The 12,422-nt window shown below is 35.5% G+C and overlaps 1 protein-coding gene across 16 annotated transcripts in view; it reads right to left on the bottom strand.

The window, feature by feature from the left end:
* Positions 1–12,422, bottom strand: part of SHOC1 (shortage in chiasmata 1) — a 108,767-nt gene that overhangs the window by 57,367 nt on the left and 38,978 nt on the right. For all 16 annotated transcript variants that reach the window (NR_109816.2, XM_017014340.2, XM_006716975.3 and 13 more), the window contains 2 exons: positions 4,555–4,662; positions 2,697–2,805 (listed from right to left, as the gene is read on the bottom strand). Coding sequence is in view for 15 of the 16 variants with exons in the window: in XM_017014340.2 (XP_016869829.1) it covers positions 2,697–2,805; positions 4,555–4,662 (217 nt within the window). In the remaining variant the exon portion in view is untranslated. The remainder of the gene's footprint in view (positions 1–2,696; positions 2,806–4,554; positions 4,663–12,422) is intronic.

The raw sequence follows: 12,422 nt of genomic DNA on the forward strand, positions 1-12,422 counted from the left end.
TCAGCTGTTGCAGAATCACAGTGCTTGTGTTCAAGTAACCCCTTCTGTATTTAATAATGACTCCAAAGCACAAGAGTAATGAGGATGGTATTTGTTATGGTCGTTCTATTTTACTATTTTACTATAGTTATTGCTGTTAATGTCTTACTATGGCTAATTTATAAATTAAACTTTATCATAGGTATGAATATATGAGAAAAAACAGTATATATAGGGTTCAATAACATTCGCAGTTTCAGGCATCCATTTAAGGTCTTGGAATTTATTCTCCCGGCATAAAGGGGGACTACTGTAAACTCATTTTTAAAATATGGATTTTTAAGCTTTTACAGTTGCCAAACAAATGGAAGTGATTTATCTCTTGCTGGTAAATGTAGTAGTGAGGGGAAAACTTCTTTCAGTTGTTTCAAATGGCTCTAAAACCATTAGCTAATTTGAAAGCCTTTTTTTTCTAACTTTGCCAAATCGTAAGTCATTAGTTAAGATTTGTTTCATAAATTCTTATTAGATATTTGAGTTATAACAATAGACATATAACTTGTGATTAAAAAGAGCTTATTATGGTTTAAATACTTCTAAAATCAAACTGAAATTAAAGATCATACTAATTTCTGCTAGTTTCTGTTTCTAAAAATGCCAGTCTGTCATAACAGATGGATTAGGGTGTATGGACTAAATAAAAGAGTAAAAGGGCACTAACAAAAACAGTATATGTCCTGCAAATAAATATCTTGTACCTTATCAAGAGAACTAAAAGTATTTAAACAAAGTGTATGTAGTTTCCATACTTGTCCTATGCTCTTTTTAGGGCTCATATCTGATATGGACAATTCTTAGTTCATGATAGAACTCTGTATAGCACAAATTTACTCTAGAAATGTAAATAATTCTTAGCCAGAAGATAAAGATATATTTAGGGCCCTCAGTCTTATGCTTTGACACTTTCCTGAGACCATTAATAGAAGCCTAAGCAGCCAGTGATGAATTATACAGCCTTGACTCCAGCTGGTCCCAGTAATCCAAATAGCACTCTCCTCTGGCAGATCAGCTAATTATAACAAGAATTCAAACCTAACACACACAGTTCCCACAGTTTCCAGTCCTGGAATAATTCATTAGAGACTTGTAGACTTTACTGTCATCTTCCTGAAAATATGTTATTTTAGGACACATTAAGTTCTAGGTTTACAGTAGACTAATTGTACTGGTTATGTTCCCAATTTTTTAACTGGCGTAAGAAGCAGAGGAATGGAATGGCTTTATTCCAGGATAGCAGACTAATCAATCTTAGAAAACATTAAGCTACATGTGTGCTGCATGGTTTAAGACAGCAATGAAAGCTATCTCAGACTCTATCAAAGGGCAAGGATGCTGGGCTATTAAGCTATGCAGTTTTGGCTCAAACTAGAATATAATGACCTAGCCCTGCAGTATCAATTCTACAATTTCAGACTATTCTGTGCAATAATGATGGGGTATTGAACAAGTTTACGAATCAAGCCTTGGTTCTGTATGTCTGGTCCACCCATTACTGAGACCACATTGACAAGAGGTGAACAAGGTCAGTGGCTGTCCTCTGTTAGAGATAGGACATCCATAAGAGAGCAAGGACTCTTGCACTCTTAATGGGAATAAACTGATAGCCAAATCTATTGATCAACGATTGTCCACACTGCTCTGTGATCTTTGGCTACTTCTGGCCACAGACCTATGACAAATCTTTTAGTAGACCTCTTAACAACCTTATAGATACTATTATTATCCCAGTATTGTAGATTTAAAAAACCTGAGGCACAGAACAATTAAGGTTGCAGTTAGAAAGTGATAGAGCTAGGCAATCTGGCTCTAGTTCAGAGCTTCTAACCACTTATTATGGGCTGAATTGTGTCCCCACAAAATTCTTATGTTGAAGACCTAATCCTCAGTACCTCAGAATGTGACTGTATTTGGAGACAAGGTCTTTAAAGAGGTAATTAAGTTAAACAGGGCCATTAATACAATGTGACTGGTATCCTTATAAGAACAGGAGATTGGGGTATAGACAATGATAGAGGAAAGAATATATGAAGGCAAAGGGACATCTATAAGCCAAGGAGGGAGGTCTTAGAATGAAACCAACCCGGCTGACACTTGGTTCTTTCACTTCTCACCTCCAGAACTGTGAAGGAATAAATTTCTATTGTTTAAGTCATCTAATCTGTGGTATTTGTTAGGGCAGCCCTAGCAAACTAATACACCACTACATTGCCTTTCATGGCAGTGACTGCCAGTAGAGACAGTGCCATTAGCAAGTGTCCAGTGGCAATGTCCTAAGCATACTATTCCAATGCCAGGATCTTCAAAATTTTTTAAGTTATTTATTTTTAATGATAATATATTCACATTAAAAATACTGAAATGTATAAAAGCCATACTGTGAAAAATCTCCTACACACATTGCTAGGTTACCTAGTTCTTTTCTGGATACAAGCAATATTACTTGTTTCTTGGGTGCCCTTCTAAAGATACTCTTTGCATATAAAACCAAATATATACATAAATTTATATATTCCTTTTAGTTACTTATTACAGACACTGTACTAGCTCTTAAATTTTTTCATAGAGGTATCTTGGAAATTGCTTTTATATGGAGAGATTTAAATAAAGACTGCTTGTTCTGAATTGCAACATGGGTTCTAGATATAATCTTTACTTACATTTTACAAACCGGAGATAATGGAAATGTCTGAAGTTCTGTACGTAATGAATTCACTGAAGAATGTTGGCATGTTAGGAATAGAGGAGTTAGTGGCATTTCTAACTCTCCTGGAATATATGAAAATTAAAGTTATGTAAACATTGAATAATATTAAGTAGGCTAGGCGTGGTGGCTCACACCTGTAATTCTAACACTTTGGGAGGCTGAGGTAGGAGGATCACTTGAGTCCAGGAGTTTAAGACCTGGGCAACATGGCAAGATCAGTCTCTACAAAAAGTACAAAATTAGCCAGCAGTGGTGGCACATGCTTGTAGTCCTAGCTACCTGGGAAGCTGAGCTGGAATGATTGCTTGAGCCCAGGAATTTGAGATTGCAATGAGCTGTGATTGTGTCACTGTACTCCAACCTGGGCAACAGAGCAAGCCTTTGTCTCTAAAAAAAATAAATAAATAAAAATTAAGTATAATTTAGAACATTTTGTAAGCAACTATTATGTTTGGTCATCTGTTAAAACAAAAATATTTCAATAAAAAGAAATTTGAGTTGAGATATAAAATGTCTTAAATGTCTATCTATATAAGGAATTACATATATATAACATTGTGTCTCAATTACAACCGTGGTGATTTTTAAAACATACATTAATAGCTAAACTTTATTGAGTTTACTGTGTTTAACATAAATTCCAAGAGCTTTATATGTATTAAGGCTTTTGATTCTGACAGCTTGTGTTGTCAGTACTTAGGCAATAGAATTATTTTTATTTCCAAAGAAAGAAAAAAATTATTATTTTTATTTCCATACTAATTATTAGTGATGTTAAACAAACTGTATTATAAAGAGTAATTATTCACCTTAATGACTCTGGACTCTAGATGGCCTAGCACAAAATTATATATCTATAGGGCGGGCTTGAAAAAGTGATTCTCATGTATTGCTAACTAGTAAGTGTGGTTTTATTACTTTCATAAATAAAGCAGTAAACTTTCAAATAGATAATTCAGAAGATCCAATTATAAATGTAATTAAGTATCAGGGCTATCAATATAGTTAAGCAACATACTTTGGCATTGTACTGGAACAAAAGATGATTCTAAGATTCAAAATTTGGTAGAATAATATTAACAATAATGATGACATAGAGAACGATAACATTGCTTTGGGAGATTAAAAATTCAAATTTAAAAAAAATGTGACAGTGGTCAGCAAGATTGCTAATATTGAGATGAAATATGAAATTTTATTTACTGAGCTATAATATTTTAAGGTTTCTACTTTTAATATTAATGCTATTTCCTCCATTCCTCTTCTACACTCTTTGTAACTGCCATCTTTTTGTTATTCAGGGGTTTTTTTGTTTGTTTTGAGACAGAGTCTAGCTGTTGCCCAGGCTGGAGTGCAGTGGTGTAATCTCGGCTCACTACAACCTCCACCTCGCCAGTTCAAGCCATTCTCGTGCCTCAGCCTCCTGAGTGTCTGGGATTACAGCCATGTGTCACCATGCCTGCCTGGCTAATTTTTGTAATTTTAGTAGAGATGGTGTTTCGTCATATTGACCAGGCTGGTCTTGAACTCTTGATCTTAAGTGATCCGCCCACCTCAGCCTCCCAAAGTGCTGGGATTACAGGCGTGAACCACCGCACTAGGCCTATTATTCAGTTTTGATGCCAGTAGAATTCTAAGTTAATAATAGTAATAAATATAAAGGAGCAAATAAGAAAAAATGACAGGATTATAACAATCCAATTTTAAACATGGAAACTGACTCACAGTACACTGTATATGTGAATGTACTGTACTTTTACATCATAAATAGGTAATCCCCAATAAGCTCAATGATTTATCAAAATTTCTACCTGGTTTACTGCACTCTTCTGGTTCACTCTGGCTTTGAATGGTCAAAATCTCTGTGGAGCTGAATTTTATATCCCCGATATCCTCAATTCCATGCTTGTTAGTAAGATCTGAAAAGGAAGAAACTCTGTTATTAGCAAATGTACCATTAAATTAATTTTCTGTAACCTTGTTCAGTGGCATTTTCCTTTTAAAGTATCTTTATTGTTTTATTGCATGTCAATTTTTCCTTTTAGAGAGAAGTAGAGATTTATACTTCTGAAGAAAATGCTAACTTAGGTAAATAACTATTCCCCCATGCACACTCCTTGTTGCCCTTCAACTGTCAATCAGAATTACCCAAGGAAAATAAAAATGGCAAAATCTACATAATCACTGGAAGGTAAGATAGGGTGGGCAATCCATAAGCCACAAACTTCAAAGAATGAGGTCGCTTTGAAGGGTTTCATCTCTATCAATATATGATGACTTTCTATGCCTTGCTTAGCTGGAACTCTACTTGTCTATATGAATACTGCCACTTTGGCTTTCTTTTTTCTTTCTTTTATCTCCCTTCTTCCCTCCCTCCCTCTCTTCCTTTTTTCCTCACTTCCTCCTTCCTTTCCAGCTGCCTGACACATTTTACCTATCCCTTTTTTATCTTTTGCCTGCCTTCCTTTTTTCCTTCCTTCCTTTCCTTCCTTCCTTCCCTCCCTCCCCTCCCCCCCTTCCTTCCTTCCTTCCTTCCTCCCTCCCTTCCTCTCTCCCTCCCTCCTTTGTTTCCAGCTGTCTGACACATTTTGCCTATCCCTTTTTTATCTTTTGGCTTTCTTTCTTCCCTCCCTTCCCTCCTTCCTTCTCCACCCTAGATGTCTGACACATTTTGCCTATCCTTTTATTTTCCCCTCCCTCCCTCCCTCCCTCCCTCCTTTCCTGCCTTCCTTCCTGCCTTCCTGCCTTCCTTCCCCAGCTGTCTGACACATTTTGCCTATCCCTTTATTTTTTACCTTTTGGCTTTTTTTCCTTCTTTTCTTAAGGCTCAACTCTTGAAAACAACATACTCAGTGGTTCTTTATTGAAAGACATAGACTTTGTATTTTGTTTTTTGAAATTATGATGCATCTTATAATCTGTATGTGCATTTAGAATGTTTCTTTCTTCCCTAAAAATTCTTAAGTTGATAATACATCTTGCAGTTGGTAGGATCTTTGAATCAGACATATGGTCATTATATTTGCTTTTTAAATTTAATCTAAGAATTGATCTCTCTTTTAATAGAGAAGCTTAACCAATTTATATTTACTCAAACAAAGGTGATACTTTTATAATCTTATTTTATGCTTCCAATGCCTTTTCCTTGCTTTGCTCTTCTTTATTTCCACAGAATTAATTCTATTGCTCAAAGTTTTTTTTATTTTTTTTTTCTCTGTTAGTTCAGAAGTTATACATGTTATCAACTTTTAAGTTCAGGGGTACATGTACAGGATGTGCACGTTTGTTACATAGGTAAGCATGTGCCATGGTGGTTTGCTGCACAGATCATCTCATCACCGAGGTATTAAGCCCAGCATCCATTAGCTATTCTTCCTGATGCTCTTCCTCCCCCTACATCACCCCCGATAAGCCCTAGTGTGTGTTGTTCCGTCCACCATGTGTCCATGTGTTCTCATCGTTCAGCTCCCACTTATAAGTGAGAACATGTGGTGTTTGGCTTTCTGTTCCTGCATTAGTTTGCTGAGGACAAGGACTTCCAACCCCATCCATGTACCTGCAAAGGACATAATCTCATTCCTTTTTATGGCTGTATAGTATTCCATGGTGTATATGTACCACATTTTCTTTTTCCAGTCTATCATTGATGGGCATTTAGGTTGGTTCCATGTCTTTGCTATTGTGAATAGTGCTGCAATGAACATACACATGCATCTATCTTTATAATAGGATAATTTATATTCCTTTGGGTATATATATACCCAGTAATGGGATTGCTGGGTCAAATGGTATTTCTGCTTCTAGGTCTTTGAGGAATCGCCACACTGTCTTCCACAATGGTTGAACTAATTTTCACTCCCAACAACAGTGTAAAAGCATTCATTCCTTTTTCTCCACAACCTTACCAACATCTATTGTTTTTTTACTTTTTAATAATAGCCATTCTGACTGGCATGAGATGTTATTTCATTGTGGCTTTGATTTGCATTTCTCTAATGATCAGGGATGTTAAGGTTTTTTTTTCATGTTTGTTGGCTGCATGTACGTCTTCTTCTTTTTCTTCTTTTTGAGACAGAGTCTTGCTCTGTCACCCAGGCTGGATGGAGTGCAATGGCGTGGTCTTAGCTCACTGCAACCTCTACCTCCCAAGTTCAAGTGATTCTCCTGCCTCAGCCTCCCCAGTAACTGGGACTACAGGCACTTACAACCATGCCTGGCTAATTTTTGTATTTTTAGTAGAGACGGGGTTTCACCATGTTGGCCAGGCTGGTCTCAAACTCCTGACCTCAAGTGATCTGCCCACCTTGGCCTCCCAAAGTGCTGGGATTACAGGTGTGAGGCTCTGCACCTGGCCATATGTCTTCTTTTGAGAAGTGTCTGTTCACGTCCTTTGCCCACTTTTGGGGGTTGTTTGCTTTTTTCTTGTACATTTGTTTAAGTTCTTTGTAGACTCGGGATATTAGACCTTTGTCAAATGGAGAGATTGCAAAAATTTTCTCCCATTTTGTAGGCTGTCTCTTCACTCTGATGATAGTTTCTTTTGCTGTGCAGAAGCTCTTTAGTTTAATTAGATCCCATTTGTCAATTTTTGCTTTTATTGCAATTGCTTTTGGCGTTTTCGTCATGCAATCTTTTCCCATGCCTATGTCCTGAATGGTATTGCCTAGATTTTTTTCTAGGATTTTTATAGTTTTGGGTTTTACATTTAAGTCTTTAATCCATCTTGAGTTAATTCTTGTATATGGTGTAAGAAAGGGGTCCAGTTTCAGTTTTCTGCATATAGCTCCGCCAGCTCCCCCAGCACCATTTATTAAATAAGGAGTCCTTACCCCATTGCTTGTTTTTGTCAGTTTTGTTGAAGATCAGATGGTTGTAGGTGTGTGGTCTTATTTGAGTTCTCTATTCTGTTCCATTGGTCTATGTGTCTGTTCTTGTACCAGTAACATGCTGTTTTGGTTACTGGAGCCTTGTAGCATAGTTTGAAGTTGGGTAGCATGATGCCTCCAGCTTTGTTCTTTTTGCTTAGGATTATCTTGGCTATTTGGGCTGTTTTTTGGTTCCATACAAACTGCTTGCCTGTTGTTGGTGTATAGGAATGCTAGCAATTTTTGCACATTGATTTTGTATCCTGAGACTTTGCTGAAGTTGCTTATCAGCTTAAGAAGCTTTTGGGCTGAGAACATCTTATTGTAAATCAATGCATTATCATTAATTTTATAATACATGTATTTCAATATTTTTTCTATCAATTAAAAAAGGCTACGTCTCAGTTCTCCTATTTATAAAATAAGGAATTTAGCATATTTTTTCACCAAAACTTTCTCCCTTTCAAACAGATTAATCTAATTAAAGCTGAGATCTTGAGGATCTTAGAGATCGCTAAGATCTTAGCTTTAATTAGATTAGCCTATGTTTCAAATGAGGTTATAATTGATTTCTTTCAAAATTATCTGGCTTTTGTTTTAAGAAAGCAGGAAACACATATATTAGTTCTCCCCTCTAAATCCTATAGAATGACAGTAGCCATCTATAAAATACATAAAGTGAGGAGAAGGGGAAGGAATATTCATCTACATTTCAGAGATATTAATAGAATCCTAGGAGATAAAAAGAAAATTTAAAAACTAGTATATAAAACAGAATGGAGTTTTACTTCTAGCAATAGCTCCTATTGGACCAATCTTCCTGTAGATAGCATTTATAACTCTCAACAAACTATGTAAAATGACTATCTGAAGGTACTACAGTCTAAAGCATGCAGAAATGGGAAGGGAATTGATACTGAGTGAATTTCCCATTTTTACAGCTTTTCACTTGAAGGGATGACATATTTCGTACTAGCTGGGTCAACTAGAACTTGGATAAAAATCTGTGGTCTTATTATCTTGAAGAATGAGAGGACAGTTCTACATGAATTAGAGTTCAGGGTTACCACAGCAGCTGGAAGATAAAGGAAGAAATCCAGGAAAAGAGAGAGCAACAGAGGAGGAGCCCCAAACTCTATGTATAAACTCTGCTTAAAAAATCTCTGGATGATCCCTGAACTACACATGTATGGGGCAGATTGAAAGCATATCAGCTAAGGCTATATAAAGATTTCAGCTCTTTCCCACCATAGTAGAGACAAAGTTTATAGTTTGAGTTCAGCCAAGTTAACAGCCTATTAAAACAAACAGAGAAAGTCGACTCTCTTCAAAGGAAGATAGCAAACTACAGTTTCTGTAATGTATCAGGTGCAATGTCAGGATACAATCCAAATACAGTTAGTAGAATGAAAAAACAGGAACATGTGACTCATTCTCTACAAAAAAATATGTTACTGGACACTAACCATGAGATGACTCAGATTTTGAAATTAGTATCCAAAGATTTCAAAGCAGTAATAACATAACATAGTAATCACTATGCTAAAAGATGTAAAGAAAAATATGGTTGTAATGAATGAGCAAATAGAAATTCTCAGCAGTGAAAGAGAAACTATAAAAAAGAACAAATGGAAATTTTAAAACAATATCTGAAGTAAAAAATTCACTGAATGAGCTTAACAGAAAATTAGAGGTGACATAAGAGTCAGTGAAATTGAAGACAGAGCAACAGAAATTACACAATCTGAAAAACAATAAGAAAAAAATTGAATAAAAATGAACAGAGGCCAGGTGTAGTGGCTCATGCCTGTAATCCTAGCACTTTGGGAGGCCAAGGTGGGAGGATCACTTGAGCCCAGGAGTTCAAGACCAGCCTGAGCAACATAGTGAGACCCTGTCTCAACAATAAAAAAAGAAAGAAAGAAAACATGAACAGAGCTTCAGTGACTGTGGAACAATTTATCTACCTAGTTTTTTAAACTATATATCTTTGTATTTTTGTCATAAAATATAACTCTGTGGTAATCAAGAACTACTCACAAAGCAATACGCTTGCTCAGTTGCCTTCAATGATGAATTCCACTAAACATTTTAAAAAAATCAACATCAATTACTTAGCTCCTCCTAAAAATAGAAGTAAAGTTAATGATGCTTAAGTCATTCTATGAGGCCCATATTATTCTGATACTGAAACCAAAGACATCACAAGAAAATAAAACTACAGACCAATATTTCTTATGAATATTGACACAAAATTAATAATCTAGTAAAAAAGTGGGATTTATTGCAGTAATGCAAGGTTGATTGAAAATCCCAAACTCAATGTAATATACCATATCAAAAGGATAAAAAATTTTAAAACCATGATTATTCAATAAAAAATAAGAATTCTAAAAAAATTAAAAATCTTCAACAAAATACTAGTAAATTGTATCTGACGGCATATTACAAGGATTATATACCATGATCAAGTGAGATTTTTTTCCCCTGAGATGCAAGGATAGTTCAACATATGCAAATCAATAAATGTGATACACTACATTAATAGAACGAGGGACAAGAACCATATGATCATCTCAATAGATGCAAGAAAGGCATCTGACAAGATTCAAAACCCTTTCATGATAAAAACTCTCAAAAAATTAGGTATTGACAAATCTGCCTAATATTACCACTTCTATGTGGAATCTAAAAAGCCGAACTTATAGAAACAGAGAATAGAAGAGTGGTTACCAGGGGCTAGGGTGTAGGGGAAATGAGGAGAAGTTGGTTAAAGGGTATACACTTTCTATTATAAGATGAACAGGTTCTAGAGACCTAACATACAGTATGGTGACTATAGTTAATAATAATGCATTGTACACTTTAAATTTACTAAGAAAGTAGATCTTAAATATTCTCATCACATACAAAAAAGTAACTATGAGATGATGATAAGTTAATTAGCTTTTTTATGGTAAATATTTCACAATGTATATGTATATCAAAATATGTTATACACCTGAAGTATGTACAATTTTGTCACAAAAACACTTCCTTAAAAAATTCAAGTAATCCCAAAGAAGGCAGAAAAGGAGGAATTGAGAAACAAAAACAAATGACACAAGCTTACAACTCAATAATAAAAAGAAAAATAACCCAACTAAAATGGGCAAAGGATCTGAGTAGACATTTCTCCAAAGAAGATATACAAATAGCCAACAGTATGTGAAAAGGTGTTTGACATCCTTATCCATCTGGAAAATGCAAATCAAAACCACAATGAGATATCACTTCACACCTAGTAGGATGGCGATAAAAAAGTTATATAATAACAAGTTTTGGAGAGGATGTAGGTAATTTGGAACCCTCACACATTGTTGGTGGGAATGAAATAGTGTAGTTACTTTGGAAAACAGTCTGGCAATTCCTCAAAAAGTTAAACATAGAGTTACCATTTGATCTAGCAATTCCACTCCTAGGTATATATCCAAGAGAAATGAAAACATATGTGTGGACAAAAACTTGTACATGAATGTTCATAGCAGGATTACTTTTAAGTTAAAAGGACAGCCCAAATATCTATCAACAGATGTACAGATAGACAAAATGTGCTATAGCCATACAATGGAATATTGTTTAGCCATAAAAATGAATGAAGTACTGATACGTTGGATAATGCCAATAAACTTGAAAATATTATGCTAAGTGAAATAAGTCACAGATGACATATTATATGATTCCTTTTTTATTGAATGTTCAGAGTAGGCAAATCTATATAGTTTTACTTACACTTTGAGCATGGGAAATAGGAAGGATGTTATGGCTTGAGATATCCCTGTAGCAGGCAACTTTATTGCTGTACTAAGCACTTTTATTATTATTGTTGTGACAACCCAAAGGTACCTGGGACACTGCCTACCCCCTGACCTTTCAATAATGTGTATAAGTTTCCTTGTTAGAAGTCCTCTGTGGCAGTGACTCTGTTTTACTTAGTACAGCAGCCGAGTCAAGTGAAGGCTGGGAGTTTAACAGTATAATCACTCAGTAAAGTCATTTGTTGTCCTTTACATTTGATTTACGGAGCTGAGATTTGTGTCCTGCCAATAAGCCTATGGCCCACCCTGCATTTTGAGATCTACTATATTTGCAAGTTCTGGTATGGATTTGATCTACTTTCCCAGGTTGGCTTTTCATTCCCTTGCTTTGATTTGCAGGCAGAACAGTAATTCCCTGATTTAGTTTTAATCGTAAGAATTCCTTCAAGTCTGTGGTCTGTTCATGGCAAGCATCCCTGTTCTCAATGGATATCGCAGATCCCCCTTCCTTTCCTCCATGATATTATATATCTTTGATCATTTTAAATGAAATTTATGAGAGGGCAGTTAAATATTTGGGCTTATACTGTCATTAAAAATAACTCAATAATATTTACTAAATTTACTAAGACTAAATGGGATGAAACCATCTAAGTTCTAAGTTATGACTCTCCTAGTCATTGACTCCACGAATCCATACTCTGAGCTCTTTATGGTGAGCCTCTCCATAGTTAACTAATGTCAGTATAGAAGTTGATAATGTTTTTATTGTTTATAAGAAAACAACTCTTCAAAAATTTGTATAGTCATAGGTGTTTTAGTTTTATTTGTATAATTATCTTGAAATGGTTAAATTTCAGAGACGTTTTAAACCTGAAAGTCATACAAAGAGAATGACGGCTGGGTGCAGTGGCTCATGCCTACAATCTTAGCACTTTGGGAGGCCGAGGCGGGCAGATCACCTGAGGTCAGGAGTTCAAGACCAGCCTGATCAACATGGAGAAACCCCATCTCTAC

The sequence above is a fragment of the Homo sapiens genome, chromosome 9 (genome assembly GCF_000001405.40).
Source record: "Homo sapiens chromosome 9, GRCh38.p14 Primary Assembly".
NCBI classification, from domain to species: domain Eukaryota; kingdom Metazoa; phylum Chordata; class Mammalia; order Primates; family Hominidae; genus Homo; species Homo sapiens.